Raw genomic sequence first — 20,478 nt, 5'->3', positions numbered from 1 at the left:
CATGGTCTTCCAGCAACCCCAGGAGGTGAAAGAGGTGAAGTCTTCACTCTCACTTCACAGAGGAAGCAGTGGAAGCTCAGAGAGGGCCAGTGATGCTCCAAAGTCACACAGCTACTGCCCAGCAGGATTCAGCCCCAGACTCAGGTCGTCCAATGCCCATTCAGGTTCTGGTCCACTTCAGGCAGGTGGACTGAAGCCTAGGGAGGAAGACAAGGTGGAGAGAAGGAACCACCAGCTCATTCTGTTTCCCAAGCAGGGGAATGGGTATTCATGGACTGCCACAGAACATCACCACCTTGTTCAGCTCCAAAGTGCTGTGTGGAGTGTGGCCACTGAAGTCCCCATGAAAACCAGCCCATCTCACGTGCCAAATGTGCAAAAAGGGGCAAGGAGGGTCTTGAGCTGTCAACCTTGTAGCATAAAGTTTTCTAGCAGGAGAAGCAACACTTCTTAACCATTCAACTCTACAAATCTGGAGGGGCCAGACATCAATGCAGATAAAATCGTACAGCAACCATTCTTTCCTTGGTCTCAACCTCACCTGGAAAATGTCCCCTAGACACTACTAAAGCATCTTTTGACCTGAAATGATATCACTCCTTTCTCTTTCTCCTTTCCTTTCTTTCTTTCTTTCTTTCTCTTTCTTTCTTTCTTTCTTTCTTTCTTTCTTTCTTTCTTTCTTTCTTTCTTTCTTTCTCTCTCTCTCTCTCTCTCTCTTTCTTTCTTTCTTTCTTCTTTCTCTCTCTCTCTCTCTCTTTCTTTCTTTCTTGACAAGGTCTTGCTCTGTCACCCAGGGTAGATAGAGTTCAGTGACACGATCATGGCTTACTGTAGCCTTAACCTTCCAGGCTCAAGCCATCTTACCATCTCAGCCTCCTGAGTAGCTGAGACTGTGGGCACACAACACCATACCTGGCTAATTGTTTGTGTGTGTGTATGTGTGCTTTTTTAAAAAATGTTTTGTAAAGATGAGGTCTTCCTATGTTATGCAGATTGGTCTCAAACTCCTGGCCTCTAGCCATCCTTCCACCGTGGCCTCTCAAAGTGTTGGGATTACAGGCATTAGCCACCATGCCCAGCCTCTCACTTGTTTCTTGATGGGATTTTATGTTTAATTTGTTTCTTCATTCATTCATTCATTCATCCATTCATTCATTCATTCACTCGTAAGTAGATAACTAGATAACTAGATCCTGGTCCTGCCCTCAGGAACCATGGCGATGTTTGCAGTACTAGGAGAGGATAAACACTGAGAATTAAAGGAGCCAGAAGAGGGGTACCTCGCTGTGTTCTGGGTAAAGTAGGAGGTGAAGGAAGGCTTCCTGGAAGAAGTGGAACCTGGGCTAAGCCTTGAAGGATAGGGGAAGTTATCTGGGTAAGACATGGAGGGCAGAAAGGTAAGAGTGAGAGCAAGTCATCCGAGGCCTATAGACCAGAGAACACCATGGAATATCTGGGAGCATGGTGTTTATACTGGTGGAGCAGGAGGTTCTGAGCCATCCCAGATGGATGGAGCCAAGAGATAAAAGCAGAGAGAGAGAGACAGGACCTTGGGAACCAGACTGAAGGAGCTTGGACTTGATCTCTAAGAACAGCAGAGACAGCTAGTGGAGAGCATTAAGTAGGGAAGTGACGGGGTCAGATTCGTGTGTTAGGAAGACCAGTCTGGCATCTACAGGGAGAAGAGACTGGAATCCAGAGAAGTAGGCAGGGAGGACTGGCAGGATTTTTCTCTCTCCCAGCTCAGCCTCACAAGGTTGGTTTCCACAAACCCTTCCATGCCAAGCAGCCCTGGTGCCCTCAGTGAGATCTGGAGCCCAGACACCTTGGGATTCTGGGCGGCAGGACCCATATGGAATCTTTACCAGATCAGCTCTCTGCTGCCCCCAACTGTCTCCAAGAGGCCCTTTGGTCCTTGCAGGCTTTTTCTAAACCTCTTAGAATCTAGCATAGGGGTAGCAAACTTTTTCTGTAAAAGATGAAGTAGTGCGATATTGGACTTTGCAGAATATACGGTCCCTGTTGCAACTACTCTACGTTGCAACACGGAGGCAGCCACAGACAAAATAGAAACAAATGAGTGTGGCTGTGTCCCAATAAAACTTTATTTACGGACATTAAAATTTGAATTGCACATAATTTTCACAAGTCACAAAACATTCTTCTTCTTTTGTTGTTTTTTTAGACATTTAAAATGTAAAAAATTCAGAAACAACAACAAAAAACAAATAACTCAATTTAAAAATGGGCTAAGGACTTGAAGAGACGTTTCTCCAAAGAGATATACAAATGGCAAACAAGCACATGAAAAAGATGATCAGCCCCTCTCATCATGAGAGACATCAAAACTAAAGCCACGATGAGATGTCATCTCACCCCTATTGGAATGGCAACTGTCAAAACACAAAGTAACGCATATGGACAAGGATATGGAGAAACTGGAACCCTTATGCGCTGTTGGTGGGGATGTGAAATGGTGCAGCTGCTATGGAAAACAGTTTGGCAGTTCCTCAAAAAATTCCAAATAGAATTACCATAGATTCAGCAATTCTACTTCTGAATATATACCCCAAAGAATTGCAAACCAGATCTCAAAGAGATCTTTGTCGACCCATGTTCTTAGCTGCACTATTCACAGTAGCCAAGAGGTGGAAGCGACCCAGATGTCCATCAATGGATGAGTGGATCAACAGAGTGTGCTATGTACATACAGTGCTATTCAGCCTTAAAAAGGGACAAAAGTCTGACATTTGCTACACCATGTGAATGAACCTTGAGGATATTATGCTAAGTGATATAAGTTAGTCACAAAAAAAGACAAATACTGTATGATTCTACTTACATGAGGTACTTGGAGTAGTCAAATTCATAGACACAGGAAGAATGGTGATGGCCAGGGCTTCGGGGAGGGGAAGATAGGGAGTTGTTTCATGGGTATAGAGTTTAAGTTTTGCAAAATAAAAAAGTTCTAGAGATTAGTCTTACAACAATGTGAATATACTTATCACTACTGAACTGTATACTTAAAAACAGTTAAGGTAGTACATTTTATGTTATCTATACTTTACCACGGTTTTTTTTTCTTTTGAGACAGAGTCTCGCTCTGTCGCCCAGGCTGGAGTGACGTGGCGTGATCTCGGCTCACTGCAACCTCCACTTCCCGGATTCAAGCGATTCTTCTGCCTCAGCCTCTCAAGTAGCTGGGACTACAGGCACATGCCACCACACCCGGCTAATTTTTGTATTTTTAGTAGAGATGGGGTTTCACCATATTGGCCAGGCTGATCTGGAACTCCTGACCTCGTGATCCACCTGCCTCGGCCTCCCAAAGTGCTGGGATTACAGGCATGAGCCACCGCGCCAGGCCCACACAATGTTTTTTAAATGTAGAAACCATTGCAAGCTGGGACACTATACAAAAACAGGTGGCAGGCTAGACTTATTTGTTAGTCCATAGTTTGCTGTCTCCTACTCTAGCAGAACAAAATCCATGGACTTCCAGAACCCTTCCTTAAAACCTCACAGCACCCCTTCTGAAGTTCTCAGAACCAACGGCATTTTCCAATTTCCTCACAGGGCTTGGGAAGAGAACTTTTGCTGATCTTAATGAAATATGACTTTTGAACTCCAAATTGGGATTCAGTGAATGGAAGCAACAGAGTCTGACCCATACTATGAATTGGTCCCAGATCTGTTTCTACCTTTCTCCTCCTAGCATGAGTGACAGGCACTGTAAATCCTCTACGGATGCAGCCTCCAGAGGGTTCAAGCCTCCCTGTGATTGGGAAGTGCATTGTCAAGTTCACACCTGATTGGTTTGTCACATAACATTCTGACTTCAGTTCTTCATTTAACACATTTACTGAGCATCCAGTCCCTGAACTAGACCTTGGGGTACAGCAATGAAGAGGACATGGCCCATCTCCTAGGAGCTCACAGCCTCATGAGCATTCATGTGGGTGTGTCGGGGAAACTGTCCTAGGGACCTGGGACAGTAACTTGTTGAGCTAGAAGGCTTGAAACCCACCCAACTCTACCATCCACTCTCATATACCCTTCCTTTTCTTTTGGCCCAAATTTTTGAAAGAATTTGGTCACCACTCAGCACCCTGGGACAGAGAGGAGATAAACATCCATATAGCACAGCTCAAAAAGTTACTGCTGGGGCCCAGGCTGGCGTGGCAGGCCAGGCTTCCCACTCTCCAAACCCGTTTTCTTCTCCTTCTGGCACACAGCTAGCCTACGTCTCCCAGACGCCTTGCGTTAGGTGTGACCACGTTCTGAAATGTGGTCCATAAACTCTCCCATCGATGGTCCTGCATGAACTCCCCCTTTGCCCTGGAACCGGGGGTTAGAGTTGGCAAGCCACACATAAGAAGGAAGGATCCAGGGTCCCAAAACAGTGCATGGAGAAGAGATACCAGTTGGTCAAAAATCCCTGTCTGGCATTTTGTAGATTAGGACTAAATTTTAATTTTGCCAAGCTACTAAGATTTGGAAATTCATCTGTAATGCGGCTAGTGTCACTGTGAGAGATATGCTGATGTGGGACGTACAGAGTGAAGACAAACACACATCTGACTTTTAGGCTCTATGAAAAAGACTGGCACAGAATAGAGCGGGGTGAGAGAGTGAGTGTAGACAGCAGGTGCCAGACAGTGGCAAGCTGTATCCCAACCCTGGTTCAGATTTGAGCTCAGATCTTGGATCCACCAAATGGCCCAAGACAAGCGCTTCACTTTTATGATCCTCAGTCAAGTGGGCAGCTGACTCCTGACCTTGTAGGGCTTTGAGTGGATTTGAGATCATGAGTGTAGGAGGCCTGGCATGGTGCTGGCCCAGAGAGTGAGCTTAGTGTAGCAGTGACTCCTGAGGCTAGTACAGTCACTTTCTAAGGGTGGGAATAGGCTGTGTTTCAGAGTAAGTTTGTCAAAATAATCTTCCATTCTGTATGCATCGTCTTGTCTTTGTAAATAGAGGCTGAGCTTTAGCTGTGCGGATGGACCAGCAGATGGTCATAGAGAGGCTTCCTGAAAATCCCTCCACCCCTCATCTACATGACTTTGCCTTCTCTAGTAGTTATTCCCTTTTAATAAATGCATCTACAAGAAGAGTCTCCATTTTTACTGCCTTCTTAGGCCTCCAAAGCTCTGTTTTCTACACTGAAATTTTCCTGGGCTTTTGGGCAGCCTCTGTTACCACAATAGCTCTGGGGTGTTTCTTTTTTGTTGTTTTTTTTTGTTTGTTTGTTTTTTGAGATGGAGTCTCGCTTTGTTGCCCAGGCTGGAGTGCAGTGGTGCGATTTCAGCTCACTGCAACCTCTGCTTCCTGGGTTCAAGCGATTCTCTTGCCCCAGACTCCTGAGTAGCTGGGATTACAGGTGCGTGCCACAATGCCCAGCTAATTTTTGTAATTTAAGTAGAGATGGGATTTCTCCGTGTTGGCCAGGCTGGTCTCAAACTCCCGACCTCAGGTGATCCACTCACCTTGGCCACACAAAGTGCTGGGATTACAGGCATGAGCCACATGCCCGGCCACTCTGGGGTGTTTCTGATGGAGGTGAAACCATCAAGCTGTGTGGTACATGTCATCATGCAACATTGCTCCACGGCGTTTGTGCCAAAAGATGCCACTACATTTTGCTAACCCAATCTGAGTCACAGGACGGTGAAGTGAGGAGCAGGAGACAAGCATGCACTCCAGTCGGCAATGTGCCTCAGTGGGTCCTCTCTTGGCTCTTCCTAATATTAGGTGCCAGCTGCAGAGTCTTCCTGCCCACCCTCTGGCTTGCACAGGGCAAGAATAAGAGGAAAATGGGAAGGAACTAATCTCCCTACCCCAGGAGTTATCTAAGGAGGAAGGAAAAAAAGGCACCAGCTCAGCGCTTAGACCTGTGATCTCATTCAACCCTCACTCCGAGCAGGTCCTGTTAGCTGTGGCGGGGGGAAGCATTCTGGCCTGGATCCTGAGTCCCCAGATCCTTGGCCTGCCCCTCCACACACACAGAGACACAGGGAGGCACAAGCAGGAGGATAAGACCAGGCCAGATTGCTCTACAATGGCTGTCGGGCACTGGCCTCAGGTCCATGGCTTCTTGGCCTGAGGGCTGAACTAGGCGAAGGGTGTGAGTCGGAAGGATTCCTGCTCTCCGCAAGGGACAGGCGCACATGCTTGTCCCCACCTCCACCAGCAGGCCTTGCCTTCCTTCCATATTAACACTGTGTGTGGTGTGTGTGGAATTGTGTGTGTGATGTGTCTACTGTGTAGTGTGTGTGTGTGGCATGTATGTTGTGCATGTGGTATGCCTAATGTGTAGTGTGTCTGGTGTACAATATGTATGGGTTTTGTCCCAGGACCCTTTGGCCACATCAGTGAAAGGGAGAAAAAAAGGGGCAGGGGGAAGGCTAAGGTAGGGGGGTGGACCATTTGAGCCCAGGAGGTGAGGCTGCAATGAGCCTTATCATGCCACTGCACTCCAGCCTGGGCAACAGAGCAAGACCCTGTCTTTAAAAAGAAAAAAACAATGGCCAAGAGAGCCCAAAAACCAAAAAACATCTGCATAAATGAGCGAGTCCACCAATGGAGCAGGTCAGGAAAGAGTAGATGCTCACAATGGGTCCACAAGTCCTGCCGACGTCCCGCCTCTGCTCCCTGCCATGCAGGCTCCTGTGTGTCCTCCTTACCTGCACGGAAACTGCTCCATGGTGGTGAAATGGGGGGTGTGGGGAGGGAACTGGATTCCCCCAGTGGCTGGTTAATGCCACCTACAGCAACATTGTCTTCTTGTGAGATAAGCAACCTGAACTCCAGAAGGTCAAGTGCCTGGGCCACGTGGCACAGCTACACATGGGGCAGGGCTGGAGTTCACACTGAGAGCTGTTGAACTCTGCTGTACCCTCACTGTAGCACCTGGACCACTCCACTGCAGGCCTCTCCCTCTCTGACTTCCACCTCTTCTCCTTCCTGATGCTTTCTGAAGGACCCCGACCTCCCAGAGGCTCTGATCCATGAACCCTTCCACTTTTTACTACATGATAGTGAAAGATAAAAGAACTAACTGCTGCATTAGTTCTCAATACTGAGTAACGAGTGTTTCAAACTTACCAGGTTAAAACAGCCAGCATTTATGGCCTCACAGTTTCTGAGAGTCTGGTACCCAAGGTTGGCATAGCCAGGCATCTCTGGCTCAGAGCCTCCCAGGAGGTTGTGTCAGGCTGTCAGCTGAGGCTGCTGTCATCTGAAGGCTCAACTGGGGCTGCAGGACCCACTTCCAAGATGGCTCCCTCACATGGCTTCTGGTAGGAGGCCTCGGTTCCTCACTCACTGTTGGCAGAAGTCCTCTTAGTCTTTTGCCACATGGGCTCTCCATGGGGCTGCCTGCACATCCTCACGACATGGCAGCTTTCTGGGTGAGTGATCCAAGAGCAAGAGCAAGGAGAAAGCTACATTGCCTTCTCTAACCAAGTCTCTGAAGTGGCACAGATTCACATCCATTGTTGTTGCAGTTCATTTTTTCTATCTGTTAGGATCAAGTCACTAAATCCAGTTAACGCTCAGGGAGAGGGGAACAAGGCTCCACTCTTCAGAAGAGGAATATCAAAAAACTTACGGACTTTTTTTTTAAAAGACAGAGACGGGGTCTCACTATGTTGCCCAAGCTGGTCTCAAACTCCTGCACTCAAGCCATCCTCCCGCCTCTGCCTCCCAAAGTGCTGTGATTATAGGTGTGAGCCAAGGCACCCAGCCTGGACATTTTTTTAAACCACTACAACTTTTCTACTTAGCCCACTTAGATTCTGTAATCAATCATTACCCTTACTCCTTTACATATAGCCTCAATTTTCTCACCACTCTGTGAATCCAACCACTCACCGATCCCTCACCTGCATCTGAGCAGCTGAACACAGCTGGGGAAAAACTGACTTCACTTTAAACTCATAGCCACCAATCTCAAATGGAGCCTGGCAATCCAACCAACTCACTGGGAGCTTACAGCCACTACTCAAAGGGATTGCCCACCTTCTCCCCTCAACTCAACCTGCCCCTGCCCACTCCCAGACAGGGACTTCCTCACCTTCTCCTTTTAAAGATTGTCATCCTATACAAGTCGGTGCCTGTTTCTCCCACCTTTGTTCTTGTTGCCATAGATGTGTCACAGAACCAGGACCATCACTTTCCCTTGTCCCTGAAGCCCCTCTCAGACTTCTCTCCTGCAATTATTCCCTCTCTTCCCTAAACCTTCATTTTTTCCCTCTTTCTACCAGGTCTTTCCAATCAGCACACACACACACACACACACACACACACACACACACATACACACACAGTCACAGAGTTCTGGTATCTTCTATCTTAAAACCAACAAACAAAGCCATCTCCCTTGGCTCATCATGTCCCTGTAGCTCCCAACTCATCTTTGCTTCCCTCCATGAGAAACCTTCTTGAATGAGGTTTTGTTTTGTTTTGTTTTGTTTGCCTTTTGTGTGTGTGTGTGTTTTGTTTGTTTTTTTTTGTTGTTGTTTTGTTTTGTTTTTTGAGATAGAGTTTCACTCTTGTTGCCCAGGCTGGAGTGCAATGGCATGATCTCGACTCACTGCAACCTCTGCCTCCCGGGTTCAAGAGGTTCTCCTGCCTCCTGGGTTCAAGCGGTTCGCCTGCCTCAGCCTCCCGAGTAGCTGGGATTACAGGTGCCCACCACCACGCCCAGCTAATCTTTGTATTTTTAGTAGAGACAGGGTTTCACCATGTTGGCCAGACTGGTCTCAAACTCCTGACCTGAGATGATCCACCCGCCTCAGCCTCCCAAAGTGCTGGGATTACAGGCATAAGCCACTGTGCCTGGCCTCTCGAATGAGTTTCTATGGCCCCTGCTTCTCCTTCCTCTTGTCACATTCTCTTTCTGGCTCACCCCAATCAATCCTCTGTCCTCCACTCCCCTGAGACTGCTCTCATGTGAGCACTTTTGGCCTTTATGTCACCCAATCAAATGGGCATATCTGTTCTCATCTTCCTCTACCTCTCTGCTGGGGCCACATGGTTGACTCTTCCTTGTAAAATGCATTCTCCTCTTAGCTTTTATGCCCTAGCAGCTGATTTTCCTACTACTCCACTGCCTGCATTTTAGAGTAGGCAGATATAGGCCCATTACATGCCAATGACTCCAAATGAACATCGCCAGCCCTGACTCGGCATCTCCACTGGGGTGTCCAACAGGCTTCTCAAACTGATCACTTGAGTCCTCAGTCCCAACATGTGTGCACACACACGCACACACACACACACACAAAACCAGCTCTTTCCCAAATCTTTTCCATATTGCTAAGTGGCACCATCACCTACCCAATTATTTAAGTCAAAGCTAGAAGAGCTGTGCTTACTTCCTCTCTTCTCTCTGCCACACCTGTCACGTGGACTCACTTAGCAAATCTTGCTAATTCCATCTCCAGAATCATCCCTAAACCACCTTTTTCTCTTTGTCTCCACAGCTCCTACTGTTGTTCAAGTGGCCATCTCCATTCCCTAGACCTCTGTTGTGGCCTGCTCACTGCATGCCCTGCCTCCTCTCTGGCCCTTATCATCCATGTCCCAGCAGCCAGAGTGGTCTTGTTAACACACAAATCAACTCATACTGCTGTTGAGGATAAAAGCCTCCCTGCTGTTTCTCTCCCTCCCATCACACTTGGAAGGAAACTCAGCTGCTTACCCCAACCCAGGAGGCCGGAGTGATCTTGTTCTCCCCCTCTCTGGCCACATCTCTCCCAACCCCAACTGCGTTTCTGTTCCCTCATTTCTGCCTTGGTGACTTTGCATCGTTTCCTCTGCCAGGAATGCTCTGCTTCCCACTCTGCCCTTGACTCACTCCTTCTCATCCTCCCGGTCTCAGTTGAAATGCCACCTCCTCGGACAGCCTCCTGACCACCCTGTCTAAGTTCACCTCCCCCCGACCCACACACACATGCACACATGCATCTCTCTAGCTCTAGTTTTCATGGCATTGTTTATTGCTTCACTAATCTGTTAACTCCATGGGATCAAAACAGTCGCTGGCATGTACTAGGTGCTCAAAACAACACACTGAATGAGTGAATGTGCAATAAATGTTTGTGGGTAAATATGCAGAATGTATATTAGTATTCTTAAATTACCAGACAGTGGGGTGGTTTTAAAATATGTCCACAAATTATTTGATATTTCTCCTTTCAAAAGGTGTAGCCTATTGTCCTCCTCTTGCATGCAGTCTGGACTTAGTGACTCACTTCTACTGAGCAAAATGTGGAAGAAATAATGTCTTAGGACCTTTAAGTCTAGGCAATAAAAAGGATGGCTTCTGCAATGTTCTCTCTGTCTGTCTGTCTCTGTGTCTCTCTCTGCTCTGGGGGAAGGCACCTGCCATGTTGTGAGAACACTCAAGCATCCTGAAGCCCACATAAAGAGAGACTGAGATTTTTCACCAATATTCAGTGCCAACTTGCCAGTCATTTGAGCAATTTTGCCAATTTGGAAGAGGATGCTCCAGCCCCCGTCAAGCCTTCAGAAAACCACAGCCCCAGCCACAATTTTGACTGTAACTTCATGAGACATTGCCAAGCACTTTAAAATTTCTGACTCACAGAAACTGTCAGTGATAATAAGTGTTTATTTTTAAGTCACTAAATTTTAGGATAATTTGTTACACACCAATAGCTAACAAATATAGTAGAAACACAAAGGAGTATACAGCATGATTCCCGTGCAGAAACTCCATGGAGGAAGGAAATGAAGCTAGTCAGACACAAATTCTTATTCTCATTTTCTGTCCTTGACTTCACTACTTCTTCTTCAACGTGCTTCGTGATATATACTAGAACTTCCTAGGGATGAAAATCAAGCTGACGGGTCTATAATTGGAGAAATATCCTTTTTTTTTCTTTTTCAAAAAGTGCACACTATCCCAAGTCTTCAAGGACTCCTCTTTTCTCAAATACATTTCAGCAGTAGCAGCATCACTGGCAATTTCCTTCAGCTGTCAGGATAATATTCATTTAGGACAAGAGACTCAAATTCTTTGAAACTGCAACATGCTGTTTTATAGTTTCCATCCTCAACTTATTTCTAGATGATCTGTGATATGGTTTGGTTCTGTGTCCCTACCCAAATCTCATCTCAAATTGTAACCCCCACGTGTCAAAGGAAGGACCTGGTGGAAGGTGATTGGATCATGGGGGCAGTTTGCTCTCTCTTCCCTGCCACCATGTAAAACGTGCCTTGCTTGCCCTTCACCTTCTGCCATGATTGTAAGTTTCCTGAGGCCTCCCCAGCCATGCAGAACTGTGAGTCAATTAAACCTCTTCCCCTTATAAATTACCCAGTCTCAGGCAGTTCTTTATAGCAGTGTGAAAACGGAGTAATACATTCTCCAAGATCCTTTGACAGCTCCTTCTAAAATTCTACTGATCTCGATTCAAGGTGCTCAGAGTATAAAGTGGAGAAACTAGAACATGCTGGGCTTTCACCTGTGTCACTGACTGGTGCAAGTCACTCTCCCCAACCCATCCTGCCATATGCACACATGGACATGCACATACATATGTGCACACAGGTACACACATGCACACATGCACTGCATTGTTGTGACGGCCCCACAAGATAACACACATAAAGAGCTTAATGCAGGACTGCTAAAGAGGAGTTGCTGTAGATAAATTATTATTCTAAGAAACTGCATTGGCTTGTCACCCACCTAGACTTGTCGAGGAAATCATCTAAGTGAGAATTAATAAAATCCAAGCAGTTGGGAAACTTTAAGCAAAGATAGACTAGGGAGGACAGGGATAGGAAGTGACACATGGTGAACATCTAGGCTGTGCCCAGCGTTCTACATACATTTCTTCATTTACTGCCCACACAGGTGGGTGTTACAGCCCCACTATACACATGGGGAGACCAAGACTTAGGTCAGAGGCAGAGCCAGCATCCAAGCCACATATACCCTGGATTTTTTTATTTAACATGCAAGTATTTGTTTCTACATATATGTTGAAAGAACAGACAACAATAACTTTGAGATTTCCTTGATTCCTTGTGGTTTGGGACCAACTGCACGTTCTGGCCCCTGAGGTGGTATGACTATGAGGAGAGAATGTGCATCGATGGTGGTTGATTGTGCCCTGGCCTGGTACCAAGGTCACAGCAACATGGAAATTCACTTTTAGATCATTCCTTCCAGCTTCTACTGCTCTCCCGGCCTCAGCATGAGGGCTGGCATGGTGGAGTCACTGAGATGGTTTGCAACACAGGCCCTGGGTCTGTCTGCAGGAGAGAGACAGTGGCTTGGAGCTTCATCGCTTCCCATTCCCATCACTTTTTAGTGTGTGACCTTGATGAGTTACTTAGTGCCCTTGACCTTGTGAGGCAGCATGGTACTTAAGAGAGCACTGGGTTTCTTGCAGATTCAATGAGATGTGTATGTGGCATGCCTGGCATATAATAGAGACCACAGCATAAGGCAGTGAAATGAAAATGTCCTGGGCTTTGATCTGGTTTCCGACTTTGACTTTGCACAAGTCAACCTCCCTGCCCCCCACATCCATAAACACACCCCACAAACATACACACACACACACACACACACACATTCACACACAGATACACACACACCACATATATGCACACAGAGATGCACACATACACACACGTGCACATATACTCACACCCTCCACATATACACAAAGGCACACATACACACAAGCATACATACACACATATATTCACATACCCCACATATACACACAGAGACACTTACACACAGACAAGCATGTGCACACACACATATACTCACACATGTACATGTATACCCATACACACATATGGATATACACACATACACATTCACGTATTTATACTGACACATACACATATGCTCATGCGTACATACTAACACATACATGCATGTACACACATACACATACTCAGACAGTCACACACATATATGCATACTCTCATCTCACTGCCCCTAATGCCCTATGAGGACTTATACCAGCACCATCCAATTAAAATACACACTACACATCATTTAAGTTTTTCTAGTACCCGCATTAAAAAAGGAAAGAGAAATAGGTGAGATTTATTTTAATAATATATTGTGTTTCACCCAATATATCTAAAATATTATCTTCTAACATGTAATATTTTTAAAATATGAATAAGATGCCATACACTCTTTTTTTTGTACTAAGATCTTTGAAATTCAGTGTGCATTTTCCACTTACAGCATATCTCACTTCAGATTGGCCACGTTTCTGGTGCTCACTCACCACATGTGGCTCCTGGCAGCTCTGCACCAGACTGTGTCTTTCCCTCCCTGAGCTTTGGTTCCTCCGACCACGCAGTGATGGAGAACCACGTGATCCCCTGACCTCACCAGCTTGCCCTCCAGCTGCAGCCACCTCACCGCTTTGCCGGCTCCTGCCTGATTAGCAGGGAGTCCCCACTGTCGGCAGAGAGAATAACGCACAGCCGTTGCTGGGAATTAATGAAGCAGAGCCGCACCAGGCTATAAAAATGTCGTTAGGCAGCCCTCCAGCCACCGGGTTAACCAGGGAAGCGCTGAGCGCGGGCATTGGGGAGATAATCGGCTGATAATTGCGGCAGAAGTGAAGCGACTGCTTTGAACGCTGACAGCACCAGGAGCAGCCCCTGGAGGCTGCGGCTCCCCTGAGGAGGGCCACAGGAGACAGGGATTACTCCTCTAACTTTGGTTTTAAAAGGGTAAGAAGAAACACCTCACCAATGGCCAATAAACATTGACAGAGCAGGAGCACCTTCATCTCGGACAAACACCACCACGTTAAGTTCCAGCTCCCTTTCTAGCCTCATGCATTTCAAGGAAATCATTTCTCTTCTAACTACAAGCAGCCAGAAAGAGCAGACAGTAAAACACAAATAAAACAGCCAGGGCACGAAGGAAGGTGGGGAGAAAGTCTCCAGGGTAACTACAACACTTCACCCTCATACAATGGGCCCCAGTAAAACAGTGGGCCTTACTTAATAAGCACATTCCTTTCCCTTCAGGTGCATTAAAATAGGGAAGCTAAAAGCAAACTCGGTGGGGTGGGGTATGCCTGAAGCTGCCAAAAAAAAAAAAAATGTATAGAAACAGACACACAACTCTCCCTCCCAAATAAGCACAACCAAAAAACACAGAAGCTGTCCAAGCCTCTAATAAACCCTCCCATCCTAAATCCTTAAAAACTCTTAGTCTGGGTCAGGCGCGGTGGCACACGCCTGTAATCCCAGCACTTTGGGAGGCCGAGGCAGGCAGATCACGAGGTCAGGAGATCGAGACCATCCTGGCTAACATGGTGAAACCCCATCTCTACTAAAAATAAAATAAAAAAAAAATTAGCCGGGCGTGGTGGCATGTGCCTGTAGTCCCAGCCAGTCGGGAGGCTGAGGCAGGAGAAGGGCATGAACCCAGGAGGCAGAGGTTGCAGTGAGTCGAGATCACATCACTGCACTCCAGCCTGGGTGACAGAGTGAGACTCTATCTCAAAAAAAATAAAATAAATAAATCTTAGTCTGTAAAAAAGTGGGCCTCTAACCTAACTTGGCCAAAGGCTCCTCTCAAGTTTGTTTTCTCTAAAATAAAACTTTCTTAACTGGCAAGCCACCTTTCGTGTTTCTTTCCTCCTTAATTCTTACAAATATGAAAACAGGATTCAGCTCTGCAATAGTCAAATAAATGCAAATTGAGCCTCAGCAATGCTTATGTGTTTTCACATAGCAAGCTGGCAAAAATGTTTTAGAATGCTAAAACCCAGTATGGGTGAGGATGTAGTGAAATGAACATTCTCATATATTGCCAGTAGAGATATGTGGATACAGCCTTTCTAAAAAGTGACTGGCAGTATGTATTCAGTGTTTTCTAAATATGCAGAAATCCTTCCCCTCTTTCCTGGAGTCTATCCTTAGGAAATTATCAAAGAGGTTTATCATTTAGCCTGTGCTATGAAATACACCATCCCAGAACTTAAGGGCCTAAGCACTACACTTATCTCACAATTCTCTGAATTGGCTGGGCAGTTCCTCTGGTCTTGGTGGCTTGACTAATCTTTCTTACGCATCTGTAATCAGCTGAAGGCTCGGATGGTGACTGCATGACCGAGAATAGTGAGGCAGCCAGGAGAAAGAGCCTCACAGACCTCTACGACATGGAGTTTAACTCACCAGGGACCCAGCTGCCGTGCCCTGAAATCCACCAACATGTTCCACTGAGGCCTTGTTGCCCGTGGGCCACTCCCTTACCAAGGCCCCCCCACAGCATGGACACTAAGGCAAACCCTCTCCCTGAGAGACACGGGACACCTCTGACAGCCAGCTTCAGCTTGGGGACTCCCCGATGGCTTTGCCAAGCCTTCCTTAGTTTGTGCAGCAGTCTAGAACAATTCTTCCCAACATTCTGTCTCTCCTCCTTAAAGGGCCAGACTTGCATGGCTGTCTGACAGCTCACCCAGCCTTTCCCTGCCTCTGCTCCATTTTCTCTCACACAAGCATTTCCCCTAATACAATCCTTGCACACACTTAATTCTGGTTTTTGGAAGACCCAGACGAACACAGAAAACCCAACTCACGTGTCTGCCTGGCTGTTCACCACGGTTCTCTCCCACTTGGCCTTTCATCCATTCAAGGCTAGCTCAGCGCATTCTTCTGGTGATCTCAAGGAACAACACAGCTACAACTTATCAAGTTGCATTTTCTATGTCCCTTTGGCCATGCCCAGAATCAATGTGGTGGAAACAGACTCAAGGACTGGGCGTAAGATTATGGCTGCATTTGCAGGCAGCACCACAGAGACATCCAGAGATGAGTCTGCGAGGGCATCCAGTGTGCTATTCATTTACTCATCTAACATATGGGTACTGAACACCCACTACAGGCTAGGTGTCATCCAAGATGCTGGGAATTTAGTTGTGACCAAACTGGCAGGCTCTGCATCCCCCTGGAAACTGTATTCTAGTGCAGACAGACAGGTGTACGAACAAGCAAGCAAACAAGCCAGAAAAAATATCAGATAGTGATAATAATTATTCAGAGAATGCAGAGAATCAAAGTGTGGTGACATGATGATAAACCGAGGGGAAGGAGCAGGCCGTGTAGGCAATCCAGGCAAGAGAACAGATTAGCCAAGGCCCAGAGGCAGGAAAGAGCACAACAGGCTGGAGGAAGAAAAGGAAGACTGTCATGAGGCTCAGCCCCAGGAGGTGGGCGAGGAGGAGCGTGTGACAAGGGCACCGAGGTAAGCCAGGCTGGGACGACAAAGGCCTTCATACACCGGGGAACAGGCTGGACAAATGGTGAGAAACCACTGGAAGTGGTGTGTATTAGTTCTTACACTGCTATGAAGAAATACCCAAGACTGAATATAAAGAAAAGAGGTTTAATGGACTCACAGTTCCGCATGGCTGGGGAGGCCTCAGAAACACAATCATGGCAGAAGCGGAAGCAAACATGATCTTCACATGATGGAGGAAGAGAGAAGAGCCGAGTAAAGGGGGGAAAGCCCCTTATAAAACCAGCAGATCTCATGAGAACTCCCTCACTATCCCAAGAACAGCATGGAGGAAACCACCCCTATGATTAACTTAGCTCCCACCTGGTTCCTCCCATGACATGTGAGGATTATGGGAACTATAATTCAAGATGAGATTTGGGTGGGGACACAGCCAAACCATATCAGTGTGTAATGGGGGCAGGGGACATGATCTAAGTTACATTTTTAGAAGATCACTCTAGATGCTAGGTGGAGATGGGAGGATAGAGCAAGCGTGGAGGCAGGCAGAGCAGTGAGGAGGCATCTGCAGCCATTCAGTGAGACCAGATAAAGGCTTGGACACAGAGCTGAGGAAGGAAATGAGAGAAGCTGGTTGCTTGGGGATACATTTTGAAGGCAAGAGTTGATAAGGTCTTGGATGTGAGAGGTGGGTGAGGGAAAGGGAGAAATCAAGGCAAAGTCCTAGGTTTGGGGGCTTCATGGTTCCAGAGGGAAGGATGAAGAAGGAGCTGGTCTCAAGGTGGCAGCTGGAATGGAACGTTCTGTCAGGCACTTGTGGAATTTGAGTATTGTTAGGTTCCCAGGTGCAGCTGTCACTTATTCTGTTGAGTGTACATGTCTACAGTTCCAAAGAGGGGGCAGAGCAAGGGATAGAGACTGAGGGACTCTTGGTGCATGGTGGGGATATAATGCCATGGATGAGATGGACTCAACAGGAGAGTGTCACCAAGGGAACCGGGACCCAGCACCAAGGGACTCCCCCACTGGGAGTCAAGCAGCAAAGGAGAAGCCATCCAAGGTGGGCGAAAGGATCCAACAGTGAGGGGATGAGCCAGGAAAGTGTAGAAGCTGAGGAGAGAAAGAAATTCCAGAATCAAGGGTGTGCACATGTGGGCCCAATGCTGTTAAGGCATGAACATCATGAAGAGAGAGAAATGATGACTGGCTTTGGCAACTCAGGGATCACTGCTGCCCTTGTCTAGTGCAGGCTCAGAGGAATGGTGGTGACTGGAGACAGATGGGAATTGGCTAAGATAGGAACCCTGCAGGTGGACGTGGCAACTATAGGCCACCCAGAAGTGCTATTATGAGGGCAGCAGAGAAGTGAGACCCTGGCTGAAGGGGGAGGAAGTGTCACAGGAATATTTCTTTGTTTTTCTTTTTTTTTTTTTTGTAATACCAGAGTAGGTTTCTAACCTGATGGGATTGACCGGCTGAGATGGAGAAGGTGATTATTCATGAGCTGCAGGAGTGCACGTGAAAGAGGCCCTTGGAAGTGTCTGTGGAGCAGGATGCAGAGCATGAGCCCAGCGCTTGGCCCCTGATGGAGCAGGAAGGGCCGTCGTAGTCATGTGCAGTGAGACGACGGCATGGGCACACTTGCCAGGGGCTACTGCATTTCTCACCCTGCCTGAGAATCCTGTTTCACATGTTCCATCCATGAGACTGGAACTTATAAACTGGTGGGCACGTGTCACCCCATTCCCAGCAGCCAGCCCAGCACAGGGCACACTGCACCTCCTCAAAAGATGTTTGCAGAATAAGCAAATTCCAAATCAATTTCCAATGTCGATGTTCAAAGGTAGGGGAATTTTGCTGTACAAATAAACAATATTGGAGATATAGGTGATTCTATTTTTTGCAGGGCCTTCTTCACCCCCAACATCTGCCTGTAAAAGTGCTCCCAGGCCCTTAGCCAGTGCCACTTCTTCCAGGAGTGTTTTTTATTCTTCCCGCTTCAGGGGCCAGCTCCTGTTCTCACACCTGCACCAGAATGTATTTAAATGTCTCTTCTGGCAACTCTTCCATTTGGCCTGGATTAGACTTGCTGTATTTTTCTCCTGATGGGGTCCTAACCTAATGTTTGTGAATGAATGAACAGCGGGGCCCCTAAGGATGGAGTCGTAGCCTGTTGCTTAGTAGACCTCAATACATCTTCGCTGAATTGAGTTGGATATCTAAGACTTGGCATGGAGTCTTCCTTCTTTCTTCTTCCACAGAGCTTGAAACTATACACATGCTCTGCAAAAAGAGAAGGAGGCTTAATCACCAGCTCTGTGCATACAGCAAAGAGATGGGTTCTCAGTTTTCAGTGTATATGTCTAACGGGGAAGTTAAGTTAAATAGGGCCCTGCTATAAACCCAGCCAACAAAGGCAGGTGTTCCTCTCTCATCATGCCTCAAGGTGCTTCGAGACAGGGTCAACCTGAAAGTCTGCTGTTCCTTCTTGTATCCCCCTCACCTGGCACACAGCCTGGCCCAGGGTAGGTCTTCCAAGTATTTGCAGAAGTGTTGAATCCCAGAGCCTGAATGTGGTATTTCCGCCATTGTACTCCTTGCATATTAAGTAATCGATGTTTACTGAAATATATGCTTGAAAAGGATATTTTAAAGGCCTGACATGAACTCAACTCTACCGAAGTGCAAGGCAAAAAACAGCTTGGTTAGGACGGACAAGCTGACTTGGCTGATTTAAGAGAACTTCATGTGGACAGAGATTAGATCAGTTCCATGTGGTTCCAGAAGGGAGAGGCAGGACCCAAGGACAGGGAGAGAACTTACTCAAAGGCAGATTTTGGCTCAGACCTGGGATCAACTCTTTACCAATCAAAGTTTTCAGGATGGAGCAGGAAGCCTTACAGAGGAGCATCCTCTCTTTGGCCCTCCAGCAGAGCTGGCAAAAAGTGACTCCATGAGTCTTTTTGGCTTTGGAGAGAAAAGGTAGACACCTATGAGGGTCAGCAAGTGCACAGTCCCTGTGCTGAGGGGACCTGAGGCCTCCTCCTGTGTGTATCCTCATTGTTATCAGGCTTTAAGGGAGCATCTATGGCATTACCTCTGAACCTCTGTGACGTCAACACACTTTAATAAACTTCATGATATCCTCAAGCTTTTTTATTTCTTTTTAATTTTCTTATTGAGAGAAGGTCTCCCACTCTGTCACCCAGGCTGGAGTGCAGTGGCATAATCATAGCTCACTGCAGCCTTGAACTCCTGGGCTCAAGCTATCCTCTTGCCTCAGCCTCCCTAGTAGCTAGGACTACAGGCACATGCCACCATGCCTGGCTAGTTATTTTTGTTTTTAGTAGAGATGAGGCCTTACTATATTGCCCATGCTGCTCTTGAAACCCTAAGCTTAAGTGACCCTCCTGCCTTGCCTCGGCCTCCCAAAATGCTGAGATTGAAGGCATGAGCCACTGCACCTGGCCATTTTGCACTTCTTTTATTATTATTATTATACTTTAAGTTCTGGGATACATGTGCAGAACATGCAGGTTTGTTACACAGGTATACACATGCCATGGTGGTTTGCTGCACCCATCAACCTGTCATCTACATTAGGTATTTCTCCTAATGCTATCCCTCCCCTAGCCCCTCACCCCCCGACAGGCCCCGGTGTATGATGTTCCCCTCCCTGTGTCCATGTGTTTTCATTGTTCAGCTCCCACTTCTGAGTGAGAACATGTGGTGTTTGGTTTTCTGTTCCTGTGTTAGTTTGCTGAAACTGATGGTTTCCAGCTTCATCCATGTCCCTGCAAAGGACAAGAACTCATCCTTTTTTATGGCTGCATAGTATTCCATAGTGTATATGTGCCACATTTTCTTTATCCAGTCTATCATTGATGGGCATTTCTCATTAGGCTCAGTTCCAAGTCTTTGCCACTGTGAATAGTGCTGCAATAAACATACGTGTGCATGTGTCTTTATAGTAGAATGATTTACAATCCTTTGGGTATATACCCAGTAATGGGATTACTGGGTCAAATGGTATTTCTGGTTCTAGATCCCTGAGGAATCAACACACTGTCTTCCACAATAATTGAACTAATTTATACAACAGTGTAAAAGTGTTCCTATTTCCCCACATCCTCTCCAGCATCTGTTGTTTCCTGACTTTTTAATGATCACCATTCTAACTGGCATGAGATGGTATCTCATTGTGGTTTTGA

General features: G+C 46.7%; 2 annotated features.

Annotated features, from left to right (window-relative positions):
- Window positions 13,272-13,566: a silencer, noted in NCBI's record as "tiled region #452; K562 Repressive non-DNase unmatched - State 24:Quies". NCBI's record gives its function as "represses a minimal TATA promoter and a strong SV40 promoter by Sharpr-MPRA in K562 cells {active_cell/tissue: K562}" and the evidence as "EXISTENCE:reporter gene assay evidence [ECO:0000049][PMID:27701403]".
- Window positions 13,424-13,473: an enhancer, noted in NCBI's record as "active region_8965". NCBI's record gives its function as "activates an Ori minimal core promoter by ATAC-STARR-seq in GM12878 lymphoblastoid cells {active_cell/tissue: GM12878}" and the evidence as "EXISTENCE:reporter gene assay evidence [ECO:0000049][PMID:35858748]".

Source organism: Homo sapiens, chromosome 14 (genome assembly GCF_000001405.40).
Source record: "Homo sapiens chromosome 14, GRCh38.p14 Primary Assembly".
In the NCBI taxonomy this organism is placed as follows: Eukaryota; Metazoa; Chordata; class Mammalia; order Primates; family Hominidae; genus Homo; species Homo sapiens.
The sequence above is the reverse complement of the archived record's forward strand: the minus strand, read 5'-3'. Positions and strand labels throughout refer to the sequence as shown.